The 24,472-nt window shown below is 40.0% G+C and overlaps 2 long non-coding RNA genes across 3 annotated transcripts in view; one reads left to right on the top strand and one right to left on the bottom strand.

Moving 5' to 3' along the window:
* Positions 1-2,636: 2,636 nt before the first annotated feature.
* LINC02248 (long intergenic non-protein coding RNA 2248) overlaps positions 2,637-24,472 on the bottom strand; it is a 94,817-nt gene continuing 72,981 nt past the window's right edge. Inside the window, exon 6 of the long non-coding RNA XR_001751453.2 lies at positions 2,637-2,998. This is a non-coding gene — a long non-coding RNA (long intergenic non-protein coding RNA 2248). The remainder of the gene's footprint in view (positions 2,999-24,472) is intronic.
* The window catches only part of LOC105370740 (uncharacterized), a 74,705-nt gene continuing 64,604 nt past the window's right edge, over positions 14,372-24,472 (top strand). For both annotated transcript variants that reach the window (XR_007064792.1, XR_007064791.1), the window contains exons 1-3: positions 14,372-14,789; positions 21,413-21,494; positions 21,615-21,769. This is a non-coding gene — a long non-coding RNA (uncharacterized LOC105370740). The remainder of the gene's footprint in view (positions 14,790-21,412; positions 21,495-21,614; positions 21,770-24,472) is intronic.

Genomic DNA, 24,472 nt, shown 5'->3' with positions numbered 1-24,472 from the left:
AATTAAATAGAGAGATTAAGATGAGCCTCAAAATGCAAAATTAAATAGAGAGATTAAGATGAGTCTCATTGAAAAGGCAACATTTGAGCAAAGACTTGAGGGGGTAAAGAACTTGTCTTCATTGATTTGGGCCGCTATAACGAAATACCATAGGCTGGGTGGCTTAAATAACAGACATATGTTTCTTACAGTTCTGGAGGCTGGAAAGTCCAAGATCAATATGACGACTTATTTGGTTCTTGGTGAGGACCCACTCTTTGGCTTGCAGATGGTCACCAGGTCACTGTGTGCCCACATGGGGTTTCTTCATGTGGAGAGAGATCTGTCTTCTTCTAATAAGGGCACCAATCTCTCATCATGAGTCCTATCATGGATTAGGGCTTCAACATATGAATTTGGGGGGATAAAAACATTCAGTTTGTAACAGAAGTTGACTGCCAAACATCTGGATAAAGTGCATTCAAGGAAGAGAAAGTCCTTAGGCTTAAGAGAGACTGTGTGCTCCAGGACCATGACAAAGATCAACTTGACTAGAGGATAAGGTGCAGGAGACGAGGCCCAACAGGCAGGATGAGAGACAGGACCACCTAAGGCCAAATAACTTAGGGCCCTACAGGTCATTGTAAACCCAGAGGTTATCAGCAGAGGAATGGTCAGATCTGATGTAGGTTTTTAGGTATCACATTGGTTGCTGCATTGAGAATGGACTGTATGGTGGCAAGGGTAAATGTTGGTTGACCAGTTAGGGGACTGCAGCAACCCGGGCAAAAGATGAGGGCAGTTCAGGTTAAGGTGGCAGTGAAGGAGGTGATCACAGAGAGCTGGGTATTTTAGGTATTTTGATTTAGAGCCAGCAGCACCTCACTTCTTGCTGGATGAGATGTGGGGCAAGAGAAACATTGAATTGAGATTTTGGTTTGAGCAGCTGGAAATATGGAGTTGTCATTAACTGAAATGCAAAATGAAAATTTATGTCGAGCAGGTTCTGGAAAAGGATCAGAGCCTTTGCTTTTTTATTTCCTAACAGTATTCGTCTGATCATGATGCTCTTGTGATCAAATGTATCTAAGGCTCATAACAGCACCTGGCATCTAGTAAGAGCCAAACAGATTGTTATAGTTGTTATATTCTTTGTGACAATGCCCATCATCATCAACATCATCATCTCTGACATATCCCAGAGTCTGTAAGAGGAGAAGAGAGGTTGATAGAAAGAGCTGGATGTTTTTGCAAACCAGTGACTGGCTAGTTTAATCCCTTAATTTTGCAAAAGAGACAATTTTGAACTGAAGTAGTGAAACAATCTTTCGTGATTCTCCAATTTCCCTGTTCCTTTAGAGGATACTTTGAGAGAAAAATAGATGTTTATGTATTAAAGCAATGAGATTGTGAAATAGTTTGTTAGAGCACTTTGTTAGAGCAGTATAAGCTTAACCCTTCTGACTGACAACCACAGTAAGCCATTATAGAAGTTCATATTCTGATTTCTAGTTACACCTTCCACTATTCCATGATGATATATGATTGTGCATTAAAAATATCCCTTAATAAATTATAGTGAAAATGAATATGATGGTGTATATAAAGGAAGGCACTAGCTTGGGAGAAAAGGTGATTGTCTTCATAATGGAGTAAAGGATTTGTCTGTTGCAACCACCAATATGTTAACCATACACTGGGTATCCTTCTAGGAGTCAGGATTTGGTGTGGCGTGAAAGAGAGAGAAAAGGCTGGGTGCAGTGGTTTACACCTGTAATCCCAGCACTTTGGGAGGCCAAGGTGAGTGGGTCACCTGAGGCCAGGAATATGAGACCAGCCTGGCCAACATGGTGAAACCCTGTCTCTACTAAAAATACAAAATTAGCTGGACGTGGTGGCATGCACCTGTAATCCCGGCTACTCTGAAGGCTGAGGCAGGAGAATCACTTAGAACCCGGGAGGCAGAAGTTACGGTGGGCCAAGATTGCACCACTGCACTCCAGCCTGGGCGACAGAGCAAAGACTGTGTCTCAAAAAAAAAAAAAAAATGAGGGAGAGAAAAAGCCTTAGTGCCCTCGCCTGGGCTCCAGATGGACTGCTTCTGGGAAAGCAGTCCCTTTTCTTTTGGAGGGCTGTGCAATTGCAGAGTGATGGGACCTCACTCAGGAGCATTATCTAAGGAACACTGCAAGGCATTAGAAGTCTTTCTATTTTAGTTTTCACCTTCCTTCATGTAATGCATCTCAATACTTTAAAAGAATCAATTTTTCAAAGTTTATTATTGAAAAAGTACTCTCCAACACCTTCCCAAATCCTCTTCAACAGAGCCTTTGACATTTTGAAGTGTTTGTTTTGGTTTCTATTTTTATATTTCTAGATAGATAATCATATTGCCACTTCTTCATTTTTTCAGTTTTTGACATTATGAGAAGAGATTTTATCTCTTGTTCCTGTTGCTTTCAATACACCACACACACACACACACACACACACACACACACACACACACACACACACAGTATTTCCTCATCTTCAATACTCTCAGTATAATTATAACATTTTAGTTTAAATCAGTATTTACTGTTTACATATTACTATTATGAAATATTATTCAGAGCTGAATCTACTAGCACAGTGCAATTACTTTTCCTTTTTGCTTTTATTATTTTTGTCTTGTTTTCATTTGCTTACTTTTCTATGAACTTATCAGCATTCCCACCCCAAACTCTCCCCTAGATGTTTAAATCTCATTAAAATACATCATTTCTATATTTTTAATTTTTTTTTCATTTCTGCTTCTTCTGTACAATTCAGTAGTCTTAAAGAAAGCTCTGCAATGGACTTCAGATCTTCTCCAGGGCTCTCTGGGCCTCCCCAGCTGCCAGCCTGGAATGCCCCTCTTCCATGTCCTGAGGACGCCCTTTGGCTCTTTCTTGACATGGACCGCTTATATTCAGGATGCTTGGACCCCATCACTGAATTACTCTTATTTCCGTACAGCTCCTCGTCAGGCAGCTTCCTGAGAAAAGGTAGAAGAGAGGCACGTCTATACAATCCTCCCATTTAATAGAACTTTTTTCTAGGTTTAAGATTGGAAATAATTGGCCGGGCGCGGTGGCTCACGCTTGTAATCCCAGCACTTTGGGAGGCCGAGGCGGGTGGATCACGAGGTCAGGAGATCGAGACCACGGTCTCTACTAAAAATAAAAAAAAATTAGCCGGGCGTGGTGGCGGGCGCCTATAGTCCCAGCTACTCGGAGAGGCTGAGGCAGGAGAATGGCGTGAACCCGGGAGGCGGAGCTTGCAGTGAGCCGAGACTGCGCCACTGCACTCCAGCCTGGGCGACAGAGCGAGACTCCGTCTCAAAAAAAAAAAAAAAAGATTGGAAATAATTTCTCATCAGAACTTTAAAAGTTTTGTTTCATTGCTTCCAGCTTACAATTTTGCTACTGAGAAATACAAAGACATTTGAATCTCAATCTTTCATATCTGACAGTTTTTCTTCCTTTAAACCTTCAGATATACTTGTTCTCAGAATTGTGATATTTCACAATGTTAGGCTTGATTTTATTTAAAAAATGTATTGTGTTGGCTACTCTATCCACTTTTTAAATTTGAAATTTATGTCCTTCAATTTTGGAAAACTTCCTTGAAGATTTTAAAGATCATTTTTTACTCTCTTAATGTGTTGTGCTCTTTCTGAAAGTCTTTTTTGAGTTTTGAGTATTGGATCTCCTGAGCTGATTCTCTATTTTTTATATCTTTTCTTTCTTATTACTCACATATTTGACTTTTTGTTCTATGTTTGGGAACTTTTCTAATCTTATCTTCCAACATATTTACTGAATTTTGCACACATCTTATCTTAGTTTTTGTTTATCAGAACTTCTTCTTACCTTTCTTTTTTTTTTTTGGAGTCTCACTCTGTTGCCCAGGCTGGAGTGCAGTGGCACGATCTTGGCTCACTACAACCTCCACCTCCTAGGTTTAAGCGATTCTCCTACCTCAGCCTCCCTAGTAGTTGGCGTTACAGGCACCCACCACGACTGGCTAATTTTTGTGTTTTTAGTAGAGACGGGGTTTTGCCATGTTGACCAGGCTGGTCTCAAACTCCTGACCTCAAGTGATCCACCGGCCTCGTCCTCCCAAAGTGCTGGGATTACAGGCATAAGCCACCATGCCTGGCCTTCCTTTATTTTTTTAGTGTGGTTTTAAGTTCATGGCAAAATTGAAGGTAAGGTACAGAGAGTTCACATATACCTTCCCTGCCCTCCACAAGCCTCCCTCACTATCAACATCCCCCAGCAAAGGGGTACGTTTATTACAATTGATGAACCTACGTTGGCACATCATAATCCATACAAGTCCATCGTTTACATGGTTATCCATCAAAGTCCATAGTTTACACGAGGGTTCAGTCTTGTACATTCTGTGGGTTTGGACAAATTATATGGACAAGTATCCATCATTACAGTATCGTGAAGAATATGGCACTGCCCTTAAAATCCTCTGTGCTCCACCTATTCATCACTCATTCCCCACCAATCCCTGTCAAACACTGATCTTTTTACAGTCTCCATAGTTTTGCGTTCCCCACAATCTTATATAGTTGCCATGATACAGTACGTGGCCTTTTCAAATTGGCTACTTTTACTTACAAATACACATTTAAGTTTCCTCCTTGTTTTTCATAGCTTAGTTTCTAGTGCTGGATAATATTCCATTGTCTGAATGTTCCACACTTTTTTAAATATTCAACTACTGAAGAACATATTGGTTGGCAATTATAAATAAAACCGCTATAGACATATGTACAGATTGTTTTTGTGGACATGTTTTAAGCTTCTTTGAGTAGATATGAAGGAACATGATTGCTGGATTACATGGCAAGAGCATGTTTACTTTTTTAAGACAATATCAAATTGTCCTCCAAGGTGACTGTATCATTGTGCATTCACATTGGCAATTGCCTTTTTTTAATTAATAATTGTTTAAACAACATCCTGTTCTTATTTCCTGGATGCAGTATCTTCCCCTTCATTTTCTTTATAGGAATACTATAATAGTATAGTATGGATATGCTGTAATGATAGCTTTATAATTACTAAAGTTTTATTTCCCTGCATACGCTCTCCTTTCTTTAAGTATCCTTTTCCACATTGGTAGGTTTTGCTCATTAACTTTGATAGAAGAGGCTTCCCTAAGATAATCTAGTCATTCTTTCTGTGTGTTCTGATTTAAGGATGGGCCCCCAAGATAATGAGTGGGAGATCAGCACGTGGAATGCTCAGTGGTGAGCTTCACACATTGCAAACGGGGTGGACAGTGCCATCAGGGAGCCCCTGATCTTATTGTAGGTTCTTCTTCTCAGTCTGTTAAGGATTTCTGCAGAAGTCCCTTCCCATCTCCTTCTTGGAGCTGTTAGAGTACCTTGTAGATTTCTGCGTATCAAGTAGGGGAAGAGGACTGGGGGATTCACATTCAGTACATAAATTTTCACTTAATATCCCTGTGTTTAAAATTATACCCATCTTCTCGCTGCACCTCAGCTTTTCCAAGTGCCTGTGTCAAGTAACCTCTATGTTACTCTCCGGAGAGGATAAAACTGCAGGAGTTCTGCCGGGATCATGCAGCTCTCTCTCTCTCTCTCTCTCTCTCTCTCTCTCTCTCTCTCTCTCTCTCTCTCTCTGCCCATGTGTGTGTGTGTGTGTGTGATTTTGGTGGAGGAGAGGGATATCTGATAATGTAACAGTTTCTCAAATAACCTTTAACTAATCCTATTCATAATCTGCTTCCATTTCCAAAGCCATCTGGGTGCTTCTAATTCCTGAGATTTCTGGAAATTCTGAGCTGACACAAGGTTTTCTTCTTGGCTGTCATCGCTGCAGGCTCAGGATTCAGTTTTCTTAGTTCTACAAATAAGTTTCCATTTTTTCTTTTGCAATTATATTAGTGTTGTCTCTTGTCCTACACCCTTCGTCCTAGTACCCACCTGTATCACTTAAAAAAGAGAAAAAAACCTTTTTTCTCTTGTTCCAGTGAAATTTTTCTGAAAAACGAAGTTACATGATGTGTCTAGTCAGCAACAGTTTGCAACTTAAATGTTACTTAACAGTTTGTTGTAATTATATAGCCTTTTCCATCTTGGTAGATTTGTTAAGGAACATCTTAAGGTTTTGCACAGAGGCCTTAAAGTTGAGTAATGCAGCTGGTCTTCATTGAGAATATTTTTTATTTCCAGTTTCCTTCATTTACTATATGCTATTATAGCATTTTCAATATAATTATACACACTGCAGCAAAAACAAAAATTAATTACATTCTTCTGCTGCAGAATCCCATCCAGGATACCACATTACATTAGTAATCATATCTCCTTAGGCTTCTGTAGACTGTGACTCCCTTTCCTTATTATCAATGACTCTGAAAATTTTGAGGCGTACTGGGTTAACATTTTGCAGAATGTCCTTCAGTTTAGATTTGTCTGATGATTTTCTTACAACAGGATGACAGTATGGGTTTTTGGAGGAAGACCAAAGAGGTGAAGTGCCATTTTCATCATATACCAAGACTGCAGACTAGTAATATGCCATGTTAACCTTGATCACATAACTGAGATTGGCCAGATTTCTCCACTGCTAAGTTACTTTCCTCCTTCCCATATTCTCTTCTTTGGAAGCAGTCACTACGCACCGCCCATGCTAAAGAGTTGGGGAGTTCTGTTCCACCATCTTGATGGGAAATACCTGCATAAATTATATGAAATTCTCTCTATGTAAGATTTGTTTTTCTCCCCTATTTATTTATTCAATAGTTTATTTATCTCCGTATGGGCTCATACATTTTTAACTTATACTTTGGATTATAATCCAATACTACATTACTTATTTGGTCCAAATTGTCCAACCTTCAGCCACTGGGAGTCTTTCAGTGGACTCTAGTGTCCCTTTGACATGTCCCAATCCTTTTGTGTTTTGGGTACTTCTCTATTTCCTGGCACTACAAAGTCCTCCAGGCTTATATTGTATATTCCCTGTCCCAGTCCTAGAATGAGTCCTTATTCCTTTTTGTGGAGAGTAATACAAAAAACTGAGATCTGCATACTGGTGCACTCATCAGTACTGGGATGTCCTTGCTTCTAGACCTTCTCAATGAACATAGCTAGATGACGTGTGTGCATACTAACTAACCCATGTACACACACACACACAAACACACACACATTTCTATATGTAACCATCTGGGTCAATATTAAGCTTAACATGAGTTCATGCTGATGTCTCAGTCTAACCCAGTACCACACGCCTCATTCTATCCTTTCACCTTGCATGTCTGTAACCTTTCACTCCAACAGTGAGAAACTTGATGCTCACCATCCACCATTCAGTTACTTATTTGTTCAACCCCAGTACACATGTACTTATGGCAGTTTCAATATTGTAAATCCATACCAACTAGCACAATCTACTGTACAGTTCCTTTTGTTTTCAGTCTTACGGACCGGTCCTTTCCAAAGTTACTTACATTAGTATCACTTTTCCTCACCCTCTTCAGTGAGGTTATGACATGCATTTCTGGTACTGTTGGATTATTTTATCAGTTTGTAGTCCATGCAGGTCCCCCTTTTTTTTAAGATGTTATCCAAAATCTTAAAAAAATTGTAAACATTAAGCTTCACTCTTTGTGCTGTAAAGTTCTAAGGGTTTTGATGAATGCATAATGTTGTTTATCTACTACTGCATTACTGTACCAAGTAGTCTCATCTCTCTATAAAATCTCCTGTACTTCACATAATCAAAACTCTTCTCTCCCTAAATCCCCAGGAACCACCCATCTCTTTTCTGTTTCTGTAGTTTTGCCATTTCTAGAATGTCATATGAATGAATCATACAGTATGTGGCCTTTTCAGACTGGCTTCTTTCATTTAGCAATACACATTTAATACTCATACATGTTATTGCATGGATTAATAGCTTATTCCTCTTTATCAGTGAATAATATTCTATTAGTTTATTTATCCTTCACCCATTGAAAGGATATCTTGGTTGCTTCCAATCTTTGGTGATTATAGATAAAGCTGCTATAAATATTAATGTATGGGATTTTTGTGTCAACATAAGTTTTTAAATCAGTTGGGTAAATACCTGTCATTGTTAGATCACATGGTAAGACTATGTTTAGCCTTGGAAGAAACTGCCAAACTGTCTTCCAAAGTAGCTATATAATTTTGCATTCCCACCAATAATGAATTCTATTATTGTTCTATATCCTAGGTAACAACTGGTCAGATTTTTTCTTTTTTATTTCAGGCATTCTAATGGGTGTGTAGTGGTATTTTGTTCTTGTTTTAACTTGCATTTCTACTGTGATAAATGGTGTTGAGCATCTTTTCAAATGCTTACTTGCCACCTGTATATCTTCTTTGGTAAGGGATCTGTTCCGATCTTTTCTCTACTTTTTTGTCTTTAAGTTTTTATTTTGAAATAATTTCAAACTTACAGAAAAGTTGCAAGATTAGTATAGATAACTATTATATAACTTAACTCATTTTCTTAATACCTATATACTTAAATATTACCATATTTACCATAATTCCTTCATGTTTTTTTGTGTCTCTCTCTCTTCCCAAACATACACACATATATGTGTATCAGTAAAGATATCTACATCTAGGTAGATATCTATCTAATCTATCTAAAATTATTTGAGAGTAAATTGCAGATATGCCCAAATATCCCTTTTTTTTTAGTGCAGAGTTCCTAAAAATAAGTATACACTCTCATACAAAAACTCAATTATATGCGTGACAATCATAAATTAGATTACGTGGCAGTATCATGTCAGTGATAGAATTGCCACAATCTCTTCGTAGATCTCATGAGTCTTGACTATTTCTTTAGCCTTCATTAGCCTTTCTCTTCCCTTGTCTTTTACGACCTTGGAATTTTTGAAGAATAGAGGTCAGACATTTTGTCAAATGCTCCTTAGTTTGAGTTTGTTTGATATTTTCTTATTATTTCACAACACTTATATTTGGCAGAAATGCCCCAGATGCAATGCTGTATTTGTCTCCAATTATCTTATCAGGAGGTATAGGATGTTGGTTTACCCACTTACTGTTGATAAATTTGGTCACTTGATTAAGATGGTGCCTGTATTTCTCCGTCATATTTTTGCTTTTTCTGTTGTTTTTCTTTCCTTCCTGATGGTCCACATTTTCTCCTTTATTATTTTGTTTATGTTTCAAGATTCCCCTTAGATATTCTTTTACAGATCTGCTGGTGACAAATTCTCTTAGGTTTTTTTGATCTGGAAATGTCTTTACTTTCCCTGTATTCCTAAAAGATAATTTGGGCAAATATAAAATTTGGAGATGACATGTCTTTTCTTTAAGCACTGAAAAATATTTTGCCACTTTTTTCTAGCTTCTCTGCTTCCAATAAGAAGCCCACTGTCACTCAGATTGTTTTTCCCCCAATAGATAAGGTATCATTTCTCTCTCACTGCTTCCAATATATGCACATTGTCTTTCATTTGCAGAAGCGTGTGTCCTCATATGAATTTCTTTGGTTTTATCTTGTTTGAGAATCACTCATCTTTTTGAATCTGTTAGCTTGTGTCAAATTTGGAAAAATTTCAGCCATATTTAGTGTGAGGTAGGGTCAAAATTCATTCTTTTGCATATGGCTCTTGTTCCAGCACAATTTTTTGAATAGATAATCCTATCTCCCTTGGATGGTCTTGGCACCCTTATCAGTTGACCATAACTGTGTGGGCTTATGTCTGGACTCTCACTTCTCTTCCACTGATTTTTATGTCTATCTTCGTACCAGTGCAACACTGTCTTAATTGCCATTGCTTTTGTAGCACATGTTTAAAATGGAAAGTGTGAGTCTTCCTACTTTGTCTTTCTTTTCCAACATGGTTTTGGATATTCTGGGTCCCTTGCAATTCCACTTGAATTTTGGAATCATCGTGTCATTTATATACAGCAGTCAGCTTGAATTCTAATAGGGATTATATTCAATGTATAGATCAATTTAAGGAGTATTGCCATAGTAATAATGTTATATAATTCATGAATATGAGATATTTTTCCAGTCAATTAGATCTTCTTCAACATTGTTTTGTAGATTTAAGAGTACACATTTTTCACTTATTTTGTTTAATTTATTCTTAAATATTCTTTTAAGTGCCATTGTAAATGGAATTGCTTTCTTAATTTCATTTTTAGATTGTTCATTAAAGGAATATAGAAATACAACTGACATTTGCATATTAATCTTATATTTTTCCACCTTTCTGAACTTGTTTTTTAGTTCCACAGTTTTTTAGTGGATGTCTTAGGATTTTTTATGTACAAGATTATGTCATTTGCAAATAAATAGTTTTACTTCTTCCTTTCTAATCTGCTTGTTCATTCGTCCTTCCTTCCGTCCTTCCTTCTTTCCTTCCTTTAGTTTTTTTTTTTTCTTGCTGAACTGTTGTGGCTAGAACCTCTAGTACAATGTTGAATAGAAGTGGTGAGAACATACTTGATTGTCTCTTTCCTGATGTTAGAAGAAAATATCCAATCTTTCATCATTGAGCATGATATTAACTTGGAGACTTTCAGACTTTATCCGGTTGAGGAAGTTCCTTTTGATTCCTAGTTTGTAGAGTATTTTTAAATAATGAAAGGCTGTCAGATTTTGTAAAATGATTTTTCTGTGTCAATTGAGGATCTTTTTTTTGTTTTTTATTCTTTTTGTATAATGTATTACATTAATTGATTTGTGGGTATTAAACCAATCTTGAATTCCTAAGATAAATCCAATTTGGTCATGGTGTATAACTCTTTTTATATATTATTCTATTCACTTTTTGCTACTTTGTTGAGAATTTTGTGTCCATATTCAGAAGAAATGTTGGTCTGTGGCTTTCATATTTCTCAGAATGTGGTCTCATTTGGATACAGAACATTTGCACATGTAATGAGTTAAGATGATGTCATACTTGATTAGAATGGGTCCTAGTCCAGTGACTGGTGTCCTCACAGGAGAAAATAGACACAGACAGATAGATACACAGAGATAATTTCATGTGATGACAGAGGCACAGACTAGAGTGATAGTTCCTCAAGCCAAAGAACTCCATGGAATGACTACAAGCACTAGGAACTAGGAAAAGGCAGAACGGAATCTTTCCAGTGATGCCAGAGACAGCATGGTCCTGCTGAGATCTGCTTATTTTCTCAATGGAAGCATGGTAGAAAGGACAAAGGAGACCTGGGGGTTTGGTGGCATCTCTAGGTCATCTGCCACTGCATCGCCTGTCTAGTCACATATTCTCTGCAGTTTCTCAAGAGCACACTCTCCCCACCCCATCCACTGCTCCTCTGGCTAATTTCTACTTACCTGTGTCATTGCCTTAAAGATGCTTTCCCTTGCTTCAAGTTTAATTGGGTTCTGCTAATTGATCCCTTTTCCAATAAGCCTTATTACTTTTTTCTTCAAATCTTCTGCAATGCTTCGTAACTATATCCTTTACTCAATGGTCCCTAAGATCAAGGGCAATTTGTCTATTTTCTTTATCATTTTATAGTGCCTGGCACAGTGCCTGACTCAAAATAGGTACTAGACAAACATATTTTGAACAATGGTTGAGGAAATGGATCCTTATTTTTCTGCTCATTAGTTGGTCAATGTATTAGTTGTGTGATTCCAAGCATACTTCTTTAAGCCTGGCATTCTTGTGTCATAAAATGTGAATCATATTTCTAATTATGTATAAAATCACCGGGCAGAGAATAATAAATACCCAATGGTTTATTAGGATGTTAGCTTAATATAATACTCATGAAATTGTACTCTAGTAATCACAAAAATCTACTGTATGAATATGTACTTTAATTTATTTTTTTGCTGGGACCTGGATGTAAATAGATGCTCCTTGAGTGTACGAAAGTAGAGGAAAGCATCCTTCTCTAGGCATGTTACATGGAACTTTTCAACAACGTCCACATTTGAGAAGTCTTCCAATTAGGCAGTTAGTGTCACTTACTGGCCTGCATACTAGCCACACTGGCACCTTCAGGGCAAGCTTTTCTAAGCATGTTGTTCACCTTCCTTCACACCAAGCTTACGAAGATCTTTTGGGGTAGTCATGACACTATTATATTGCAATTTATGCTTTAAAGTAACCTAAACCAGGAATATTAACTCTACTGATACCAGTATATTCCTACACTCCAAAAGTCATGCATAGTTGAAGGTTTCCCCTCAGAATCATTGGAATACAGTCATAGGATTAACTGTAACTGGATGCCAAGATTAAGCTTTGGAAAAGTTGAAGTAAAGAAGTTCAGAAGTGGGGAGGAGGGGTAAGAAATGCTGTCTTAATATGTTTCAAGTCAGCTTCATTGAAAGGTCTTTCTCTCTGGCCCACAATTTCATTCAAAAACATTACAACAAACCTACATTGATAGCTTTTTATGTGCCAGCATGGAGCCTTGTGCTGATATAGAGCAGAAGTTTGGATGAAGATTGGCTTGGAGATGTGTTCTAGGTCATTCAACTTCCCACGATGGCTTGCCCCAAGATAAGTTCTAGGAAAGGCAAGCAAATGCATTACACTGCACCCAACCATCTGTCCCACTTACAAATCCCCCAAAATTTAAATCCCTAGAGGTTGTGTAAACCTGTATCGAGAAAGATGACTTAGTTCCAAAGTATAGTCTGAGACAAAATAGCCTATCCAGAGTGCTGAAAACCTCTTGGAGAGAGTGGAGCCCAGATGTGCTGAGGCCCCACCTTGACTCCCAGTCCTTTCTTCTAAGACCTACCTGCCCTTCAGGGCTACTCTCCAGTTCCATAGCCTCAGTCCAAGCATCCCTGGAAATGTGCACTGTGGTCTCTCTCATCCCTGAATTCCTGCAGTATTTGGCAATTTGCATTGCTGTAGATGTAGCATCTGCAACATGTTGGCTTCATTGGACTATGGCCCCACTGGCATCATAAGAGGGTTGAGAGGGGACCTGCTGTGTGAGATGTTGAAAAATGACTGACTGAATGAATAAATGATAACCAGGGCTGGGACTGTTTCTATATATTTATTTCACATCACCTGGCACAAAGTCATACTCTAAATATGTTGCTGATCATGAAGGTGATCATTGATGCTAGCTTGATCCATGCCCTAGAGAGATAATTTTACAAAGATTTGCAAGAAAGAAAGTTTCCTTCTCAAGAAACATAATGGAGTAAAACCTATTTTCTTTGAGAAGAAACTGTTCTGCTGTTTTATGTCAGATTCTTTTTTACTTTGTTTTAGAATGTGATTTGTCTAATATAGGGCTAAAAGGAACGAATTCTACCCATAGAATTAAAAAAAAAAAAAACCGTTTGGAAGACCAACAAAGAACTTATGAGGACTGAGTATGGACCACTTCCTGCTTGGACTTGATGGACCTGAGGCTTGAGGAGCACTCTAATTCTCTCTGTGTCTGTTTTGCACCTTCGTTTAATCAGAACCATGGCATTATCTGGGTCATGAGCGTGCTGCTTCTTTTTCCTTTAGCGATCCAAATGGTTACCATCAATAATGTAAATCAGGAAAGAAAAGGCCAGGTGCAGTGGCTCATGCCTGCAATCCCAGCATTTAGGGAGGCAGAGGCGGGAGGATAGTTTGAGCCCAGGAGTTCAAGGCCTGCCTGGGCAACATAGCAAGGTCCTGTTCTCCAACAACAACAAAAAGGCTGGGCGCGGTGGCTCATGCCTGCAATGGCAGCACTTTGGGAGGCCGAGGTGGGTGGATCACTTGAGATCGGGAGTTTGAGACTAGCCTGACCAACATGGAGAAACCTCGTCTCTATTAAAAATACAAAATTAGCCAGGCATGGTGGCACATGCCTGTAATCCCAGCTACTCAGGAGGCTGAGGCAGGAGAATCACTTGGACCCAGGAGGCGTAGGTTGCGGTGAACCAAGATTGTGCCATTGCGCTCCAGCCTGGGCAACAGGAGTGAAACTCTGTCTCAAAAAAAAAAAAAAAAAAAAGAAAAGAAAAACAAATAAATAAATGAGGGAAGAACTGATTCCCCTGTTTTCCTGTTGTTTTAGTCTTCAACCTTAGATGAAATTACAAACCAAATATACCAAAGCCCACAACTTTCTATATTAAATGCCACAGTTGGTTTTCAGAAATCTAACTGTGGACTTGAGATATCATGACTGCAATTTTTCCAGACATTTAAAAATGCAAATTACATATTATGTCAAAATATTTTTTAACATGGCTTTATTTCTTATTGTTTAGGATTAAATTTAGAGCTACTTCTTCTTCTTCCATCTTGGAGAATTCTCATAGTTAAAGAAATCAAGTAAAAATTAGTCCTCATAAGTAGATTAAAACAATGAAAGCCAGGCCACTGACTGAATGATTAAGTCTGTGCTGGACATGACAATGAATTTAACCCTCTTGCCAGCCTAGGAGAGCACACAGATGCAGGAAGAGGATTGAAAACCTACTTTTCAATTTTCTCTTCTTCCTCACCCCTGCTCTAATTTGCCTGACCTGTTTCCTTTCAAAACCTTGCTGTTATCAGTACCTTGTCCATTTTCACTCTGTTTCTCTTTGTAGACTAATTCCTTGCTGCTTCCTCATGGGAGATAAACTCATGCTCATGTAAGAAGAACATCTGTCTTGGGCTAGGAGGAGCACAGGAAGATGCCTTTATCTCAAGAGCTAGGAAATAAGGCAACTGTATTAAATTGTCAAGGGAGGACAGCAGACCAACAAGGATGAAGAAGCTTGAAAAATTCTTCATTGCAGGTAAGCAAATACTTTCTCCTTTTAGTCAAATAACACCGAACCCCACCAAGTGTGGGCAGAGGGGTGCAGGTGCTTGCCAATGCAAGTGCAACAGATTAAGAAAAACTTTCCAAGGCCGCAAGGAATGAAAAGAATTTATCTGAAATGCTGTTGTCAATGATCTTTTTTTTCCTCATAAAATCATGAATAAAGACAAATATACCAATTAGATTAAATTAGTCCAGCAGCAGGGACTTCTATATTTCACTTGTGCTTAGCAGCTGGTTCGCTGTTCGGCATCTGTCAAGAATAGTTACCACCAATTCCGAGAGGCGTCTCTAATTCGCTGTCTATTTTCACATAGGAACAAGAGGTTAGGTAACATAGCTAATTGGAGAGAGATAAAAACATATGTAAAATACCAAGCAGTGAATGTGATTATACTTCGGTTCAAATGTAGTTTCTCTTGCTCATAGGATAAAAATAGTGCCTAGTAAATCTCTCTCACTTGAGCTTAAGAGGGCTCATCCTTTGGCAGGCCTTGGTGTTTGTATTACCTTTTCCATTTTAAAAACATCCCGGTTGGGTTTAGCACATCTTAACAAAAGTGCATAATCTTGAACATTTTCCCTTCTGCCTCAAGCCTAAATGGGAGGAAATTTGGCAGTGTCAATGCTAGGAAATAGAAATCAGAAGCCTCGGGAGCCACCACAGTTTAGTCTCACTAGAAAACCTACCAGAAACCCCATCACGGCCTGAAATGAGATTTAAGGCCGGAGCTCAGAAAGTCTCCAAATATTGAAGTCCGTTTCAGAATGTCATTTGCAATGCTTAATTCACCACTCCCTGGCAGACGAGGACAATCTCACAGCCGCTTCTATGGAAAAGCAAGGGGCAGACAGGGTGTGTGGGGTGAGGGGAGAGTGGCAGGGAGACTGGCCCAGCAGGCAGCTGACTTAGACTCCTGGGCTAAGACAGGTGCCTTTCTCACCAGAGTGCTCCTTCCCAGAGGGATTAAGAACGATATGTACAAGAACTCGATGCAAAGAAAAGATGGAACACGTCATACACATCATTTACCAACACTGGCATGCTTGACAAAGCATTGAAAACAAGGGACAACCTTATTTCAGAGTAAAATCCATTATGCTACTTTTCAAAGCTTCTTATAGAATCCAGATTTCTAAGTTTACAGATTAGAAGACTTTTTATCTGGACAGGAAGAGGAAAGTGCACCATAACATGAAACAAGCTTCTGGGAAAAAGTTGCTCATTGATCAGAGTCCTCTCTGAGAAGAGATGACTAATGAGGGGCACTAGAATGAAGGTGTCAGCCATGGGACAAGGCAATGACCTCTCTTCAGGCTGCCCCTGCTTCACCACCAGTCTGTGCCCATGGGCACCCCTCTACCAGCCTCAGGCCTCTGAAGACCCCTGTGGCCTTCAGATTGGTCTTTCCTTCTAAACATCTCCAGCTGCCTCGAAGGAAACAGGTTTTTAAAGGTTTAGGCCTGTCCTTTAATCTCCTCTTGCAGGCTTTAAAACCCAGTACTAGAATTCAGTAAAAACCATTCTTTCTCTTTGATTTTGGAATAAAATGATTGAATGTTCTGCGTAGTGGAAGAAAGGAAACTCCTTCTAGCTTTCCCTCAGGAGCCTGTAGATCTTATGGTTTTTCTTTAACACAAAATTCTAACATGTCCTTGAAAGATGCTTAAAGAAGTTATATATATGTGCAGCCAAATTAGGCAGTGTATATCATAAACAGATGACCAGAATCTTCTGTAATTCTTTTCCTAACGTATCTTTACATGAAGAAGATATTTACCGGTTTGTGTGCTATTATGTGTAATTAACTCAGAAACTGTCACACTCTAGTCTTTTCTGTCCAATGTATGACAAACATCTTGCCCTTAACATTTCCTAAGACCATGCCTAGCGCAGTGAAGATGGGTGATGTCTAGGTTTCCTCCAGACCCACCTGCAGGGGTCAGGGCTCACTGCAGGACGCAGGAGTCACTCCAGGGCCGTTAGTCAGGAAATGATATAGTACACAGGAGTAGATACGCACACAGCTGGTGGAAGAGCTGAAAGCAGGAGGGAACAGGCTGGCCTCCAGAAACGGCCCTGAGTACACAGGTCCCACCCACAGGGAAGTTCCTACCCCTGAGGCTATGAAATGTGGCCTCTAAATCTCTCCTACAATTGCAAACCATCACAAAGCTATGTCCCCGCCGGCTGCCTCTTTCACTCAGGGAGCAAGAGAAGGGCCCCCGGGAGCAAGCTCCTGCCCAAAGCCTCCTGTTCCTATGATGTTGCTTGTGCACAGAACCAACTAACGAAGATGGGAGTCCAGCCTCCTCGCGTCCTCTCTTCCAAATCTTGAGCAAATCGTCATGAATTGGTTTAATAGAGTTGCTGCCTCAGCACCCATTTTTAGGCTTGACATAAGTTGTTTGAAATGGTCCTATCTGTCCATTTTGACCTAGCTAAACCTTCCCTGCCCTGTGTGGTTGTCTGCAATATTGTCTGCTGGCATCTTGTTCCACTGACCCAAACCCAACCCACCCTGCAGCTGCTGACCACAATAACAGCAGAGTCATTTAAAGAGGTTTCCTGCTTTGTGCATCTTTTTTTAAAACTAGCCAACTCAAAACCCCATGGGAAAGCCTAAGGAAATGCCCATGGGCCTTAATGAAGGCCTAGTCCCAGCTCCTGCCTCTCTTCCTCTCACTGGTTGAACTCCCTCCCCCTCCAGACTTCCTGTCACCACCCCCAGCCTCTCTGGGACTGGGAGTAATACATTTCTTCTGCTCCCTGCATTTTGGTTTTACTTCCTCTTGTGTTTTAACTGACTGACTCACATGAACTTAACTTTCCCCTTGTCAGTCTTGTCCTAGAGAGTGGTTCTGTCTTGGCTTCCGACCCTCTCAGGAGAGAGACCCCCAAGACCAAATTAAAAAGAAACAATAACAATGGAAATCATAACACATGCTAATTTAGTTGGCAGGGACTAATCAGCACCCTAGATCCTAGCTGCAAGAGACTCCAGGAAATAAGAGTGTTTAATTTTCAAGCTTCTCCAAGTGGAAGGTAGTGATACAAACTGGTTCACAGCGTCTAGTTCTTTTTCTGTTTGGGAAATGAAGAAGCTGAAAGGCCTGATGAGTGTGAGACGCTCTCAAGCAAACCTTGCAGCTGAGATGGGCAGGGAGTTGGTCCAAGTGAGTCAAGAACAGCAAAACCAAAGGAAAGTCCTTAGGACTCTTGACCCAGTACTCCTATGAGGACTAGAGGTTGGCCTCAGTGAAGCCCTGGGTCACTAGGGTATAGTGATGACCATCACTGTGATCCTACCAAACTTCACATTGTCACCCTGATGGGTCCCTGTGCTGGACTGGGACCCCATCCCACTCAGTGCCTTAGCAAATGTGGAACAGACAGGTTATAGATGATAGATGATAGATGGTAAGTGCTGCCTGGGGTTTAGTTGCTGTTTTATGGTCACAAAGACTGATTGAGTAAGAAGTAACCCAACTGCCTTGGGTGTGCTTTCTCAGGACCTCTTGAGATTATGTAACCTGGGCCACGGCCATTCCTATTGGCTCAGAATAAACCTCTAACATGTTTTGGCAGAATTTGGACATTTCTGTCATCACTGTTTTAAACAACACAGTAAATAGGAATAAAAACTAAATAAAATGGGCAAAGAGGATTTGTGTTAGAGGCTGGACCAGGCAGGGGTGATCTGGAGGGAAAATTACCATGCGAGAAGAGCAGCAGCCTGCAATTTGGAACCAGAACACCTGGGTCCCTTTCTCTGTGCGTCCAAAATAAGTCATTTAACCCCCTACCTTGTGCCCTCTTCACTCATATGCAAAATGAGAAGACAGGGATTGCTAAGATTCTTTCTATGGTAGAATGCTAAGAATTTTTTTTCACATGTCTTTAGTGTTTTCTTCCCTTTATTTATGTAAGTTCTATGTACTGATGAAAAATACTTTGCCTGAGAAAAAACATGCAGAGACATAGGAAACTTTTGGAGGAGATGGATGTGCTTATTACCTTGACTGTGGTGATGGTATTCGGGTGTCTGCAAATGTCCAAACTCATCAAATTGCATACATTAAATATGTGCAGTTTTTTTGCATATCAAATTCACTTCTATCAAAGCTGTTAAAAGTATTTTTGCCTCTCCATTTAGACAGCACTTAGACAACTGACAAGACTTCATGCTTCATCCTTTGTTGTTATAGGCATTGGAAAAGAAAGAATTAATATAAAATTCTAAATAACACATTAATTTTAGAACCTCTTCTCCCTACCTTTTGAGAATAGAAAAATAGGCCCTGGCAGTGTGAGCTGTGTGAGGTATGCAAAATGTATCAGGCTCAGGGAAACCTGAGTATGGGACTTCAGTCACGCTCCTCCTTCCTTGGAGGCAATTGCTTAAAGTCATTTTGTTTCTGACTGTCTGCTTCACCTAGTATCTTCATGTTCCTTGAATTTGTGATACAAAGAACAATGTACAGGCAATCAATAGCTTATGTTATTTTAATGCAAATTCTTGGTAAACAACTCAGGAACTGCCTCTTCTTTTCCTTTAAAAATCGACTAGTAACTGTTCCTAATCAGAGTGGAGATTCAGGGCAACTTGAATCTATGCTCCCGGATTGCAATCCTCAAGCTCGGCCCAAATAAACTCTCTACTTACATTCATTTCGCCTCTGCTTCTTCCTTTCGGGTCAGCATTTCTCATCTTAACTAACATGGTTTCACAACATTAGCTCTAGCTCTGGCACTTTTTCAACAGAAATTTTCAATCGTTTTGTTACATTTGGTTGAATCAGTGCTGTACCAGCACAGTTACTAATTCTTTTCGTTTGATTTGATGAAAGCTGTAATTCTTCAAAAAGAATAGAAACTTAAATCCTCTTGTGAGTTGTTAAAGAAAGTACTCATTTCAAAGATCTTGGCAAAAGCAACATTTTTTTTCTCACTCTGTGAGATCTAAAGTGTGGACACTTGTTCTATATTTAAGTGAAAAGAATATGACTTTTTTTTTTCCTGCAGAACAAGATTCTATGGAAGTCAGACCGTTTCAGACGTTAACACCAACGCTCTATCTTAATAATGTGGTTTATAAGTGATGAACTATTGTTGTGCTTCATCCAGGAAACACTTGTCAAACACAGGGGGATTATATACATGTTTTATGGAAGAGGATGCCACAGACAAATATAATGCTATCAAATGGAAGATGATGGCATTTTTAAAATGTGAGGTCCAGAAGGAAGAAAAAACTGAGGCAAATTAATACAAGTAGAGAGTTTATTTAGGCCATGTTTGGGGACTGCAACCCAGGAGACATAGATTCAAGTTGCCCTGAATGTATACTCTGATTAGCAACAATTATAAGTGGGTTCTTAAAAGGAAGGGGCAGTTCTTACATAGGTTCATTAAAATAACATTAGCTACTGATTGGTATACATTGTTCTTTGTATCACAAATTCCAGGAACATTAAGATAATAGGTGAAGGTCACTTTGTGCAACTTGTGATAACATTTTAGGTAATTTATCAGCTTGCCTGGAAACTACAGGGAAGGAAAAAGAGCAAAATGCCTTTAAACAATTGCTCTGGGGAATGGGGGGTGTTTGACTGCAGCTTCATGCTCATGGCTCTTTGGGCCTGATAAATTTTGCAGACCTCACATAGCTCAGACTGCCCAGAGCTACTTTTCTTTCTCAAATGTTTACATGTGTTGGGGCTCAGAAAGCAATATCCCAAACACAGGCTTTGCCATGCTAAGAGGCCTTAAGAGCTGCCTCAGAACCAAGGTCCCTCTGACCTTGGTAAACAACTCAGGAACTGCTGCTGCTTTTCCTTTAAAAATCAGCTTGGGGCCAGACACGGTGGCTCACGCCTGTAAGCCCAGCACTTTGGGAGACCAAGGAAGGCAGAACACGAGGTCAGGAGATCGAGACCATCCTGCCCAACATGGTGAAACCCTGTCTCTACTAAAAATACAAAAATTATCTGCGCGTGGTGGCATGCACCTGTAGTCCCAGCTTCTTGAGAGGCTGAGGCAGGAGAATCATTTGAACCTGGGAGGCGGAGGTTGCAGTGAGCCCAGATTGCACCAAGGCACTCCAGCCTAGCAACAGAGTGAGACTCTGTCTGAAAAAAAAAAAAAAAAAAAAATCAACTTGTAACTGCTCCTAATCAGAGTGGATATTCAGGGCAACTTGAATCTATGCTCCTGGGTTGCAATCCTCAAGCTCGGCCCAAATAAACTCTCTACTTTTATTAATTTCACCTCTGCTTCTTCCTTTCAGGTCAACACTTCTCATCTTAACTAACATGGTTTCACAATATTAGCTCAACAGAGTCCCTCCCTGTGCCCATGCTCCCACCCGCAAGCACAGGGAGGGACTCTAGGATTTTGTTATCTGACCAAGAAAGCTTCTTTCCAGGGGAAACCCAGTTGCCTTCAGTTCTCTGCCTGAAATCTCATTATCTATCTCAGAAAAGAAGACTGGGGAATGAAGCCACACCCGGGAGGACTTTTCACAAGATACCGCCTGCCTCTCAGATGCTTTCAAATTCCAAAGACAAATTTTACAAATTAATTTCTATCTCCAGGGTCCACTCATTGTCTCTAATGATTTGCTGCTCCTCAAAAGAATGTCTACACTCCCGATCGCCCCTTTTGCCATGAGAAAAGGTATATATGCTTCTCTTCCCCCACTGTGGTATTGGGTAATCATTCTCCTTCAGTTCTCCCATGCTATGTACATTAAAATGACATTTTGGATGCCTTTTCTCCTATTCTGTCTTTTATCAGTTGATTTTCACTGAACCTTCAGAGGGTGAAGAGGAAGCTTTTCCTTGACTTCTACACAGGCTGGAAATAAATAACCTCCGCTTAGGACACCCCTGGCAGGGGCTTTCCAAACCACTTCCAACCCTGGAGAGAAAGATAATGATGTGCCCAAACAAGTAAGTGACAGTAAGAAATTAGTGAGTGCGGCAGATGTTGGGGAAAGGCCTGCAGCCTATTGCTTCTGCTCTTTGGGATTTCAAGTCTCAACTGTGGTCATGGCAAAGCGCTGTAAAAGAGGTGGGTTGCCAGTGCTAAGGGAATGGCCAAACAAAATTACCCAAGGATATTGTAAGCAGTGGTGAATCCGTATAGGCCTTCAGCAACCTCAATTCTGTCCTCATCAGAAGAAAGAATTTGACTGAGGGGCATAAGCTCAAGTGAGAGACTGAGGTAAATTTTATAGCAGGAATGAACGTTTATTAAAAATCTTCAGAATAGGAACAAAAGGAAGTGTACACTTGGAGGCAGGTCGAATGGGCAACCTGAGTGTCAAGTGCGTGGTTGACCTTGACCTGGGGTCTTATACATCAGCATGCTTCTGGGGTTATGTCACTTCTCCCCCGATTCTTCCCTTGGGGTGGACTCTCACACGTGCAGTGGCCTGCCAGCACTTGGCAGTGGGCGCACGTGCAGTGTGTTTACTGGAATTGTGTATACGCTCAATTGAGGCATTTTCCCATTACCAGTCGAATGCTCCTAGAGGAAGGTCATAGACAACTTAGACTCTGCCATTTTGCCCCTTAGTGGTCATAGACCATTTAGACTCTGCCATTTGCTCAAGCCTACTCACCCAGATCCTGATATCCTATCCAGACGCCTATCACCAGATTCGGGTGTTTTCTCTCTGCTGGGAGACGGCCGTTCCCTGGCACCAGCTGCGACCAATTATTATTTTGGAGAAACAGCTTAATAACTGCCTGCCCATCACCTGATTGTTGCCTGACATTCCTGGTGGGACGGGGGCCTCTCCTGCTCTGCTCATGTCTACCTGGCTGCCTACTGTAACAATGCTACATCTAAGTGTCATCCAAAAGACTTCCAGGATGGCTAAATAGTAAAGAATGGAAAGCTGTATTGGTGATAGCAGTTTGGAAACTGAGAAGAGAAATGTCTGCAAAGCAGACTGGAGGTGTTCTCTTTTCAAAGACGGGAAGGACAGTTGGGTTTTATCCCTTACAGGGCCTGAATCAAACAATAGAGTCAAACATATTCAGCAGGTTTGGGGAAAAGCTGTACCAATTTCTGAGGAGACCCAAGCACATTCACAATGGGTAAACATATACGTAGCATACGTCCCATGCTCACTTTGGGGTGGGTGTTACCATTAAAGTGAGGTGGAATTTGGGTCTTTATTTCACAAGAGGTGAACTATAGCACACAAAGACAGTTTGTATACCGTCTCTATAAGCCGCTGGAACTGGCTTAGGGTCTACAGTTGCTTATCAAGGAAAGAGCATCTGTAAGGGCGATTCTCTAACAGAGTTCTAATGACCTCGGTTTAAATTATCCTTGTAGCATTAGGGACTTTAGCAAGGGTGTGGCCTTTCTTGTAGTCCCAGGAATTTAGAAATTTTCCATGCCAGCTGGGTCCTGAACCCTCATAGGTAACTTTTTCTTTCCTTCTCTTTCTTTTCTTTCTCCTTCCTTCCTTCCTTCTTTCCTTCCTTCCTTCCTTTCCTTCTTTCCTTCCTTCCTTCCTTCCTTCTTTCCTTCCTTCCTTCCTTCTTTCCTTCCTTCCTTCCTTTCTTTCTCTTTCTTAATTTCTTTCTTTCCCCTTCCTTCCTTCTTTTCTTTCATCTCTTTCTCTCTCTCTCTCTTTTTTGAATAAAGTTCAGGGATACATGTGCAGTTTTGTTATATGGGTAAACTCATGTCATGGGGATTTGTTATACAGACTGTTTCATCACCCGGGTATTAAGACTGGTACCCATTAGCTATTTTTCCTGATCTTCTCCCCCCTCCTGCCCTCCACACTCCAATAGGCCCCAGAGTGTGTTGTTGCCCTCTATGTGTCCATGTGTTCTTATCGTTTAGCTCCCACATATAAGTGAGAACATGTGGTATTTGCTTTTCTGTTCTTATGTTTGTTTGCTAAGGATAATGGCCTCCAGGTCCATCTATGTCACTGCAAAGGACATGATCTTCTTCTTTTTAATGACTGAATAGTATTCCATGGTGTACATGTACATTTTCTTTATCCAGTCTGCCATCGATGGGCATTTAGATTGATTCCATGCATTTGCTGTTGTGAATAGTGCTGCTATTGTGAATAGTGCTGCAATTAATATACATGTATGCACATGTTTTTATGATAGAAAGATTTGTATTTCTTTGGGTATATACCCAGTATGAGATTTCTGGGTTGAATGGTAGTTCTGTTTTTAGCTCTTTAAGGAATCACCACACCGTTTTTCACAATGGTTAAATTAATTTACACTTCCACCAACAATGTATAATCTTTTTCTCCAGAACCTTGCTAGCCTTGGCCTGTTATTGGTATATAGGAATGCTAGTGATTTTTGTATGTTGATTTTGTATCCTGAGACTTTGCTGAAGTTGTTTATGAGCTTAAGGGGCTTTTGGGCTGAGACAATGGTGTTTTCCAGATATATGATCATGTCATTTTTTGTTTTTTGACTTTTTAATTATAGCCATTCTGACTTGTGTGAGATGGTATCTCATTGTGGTTTTGATTTGCATTTCTCTAATGATAGTGATGTTGAGGTTTTTTTCATATGCTTGTTGGCTGCATATATGTCTTTTTTTTTTTTTGAAAAGTGTCTTCGTATCCTTTGCCTCTTTTTAATGAGGTTTTTTGT

Source organism: Homo sapiens, chromosome 15 (assembly GCF_000001405.40).
Source record: "Homo sapiens chromosome 15, GRCh38.p14 Primary Assembly".
NCBI lineage: Eukaryota > Metazoa > Chordata > Mammalia > Primates > Hominidae > Homo > Homo sapiens.
The sequence above is the reverse complement of the archived record's forward strand: the minus strand, read 5'-3'. Positions and strand labels throughout refer to the sequence as shown.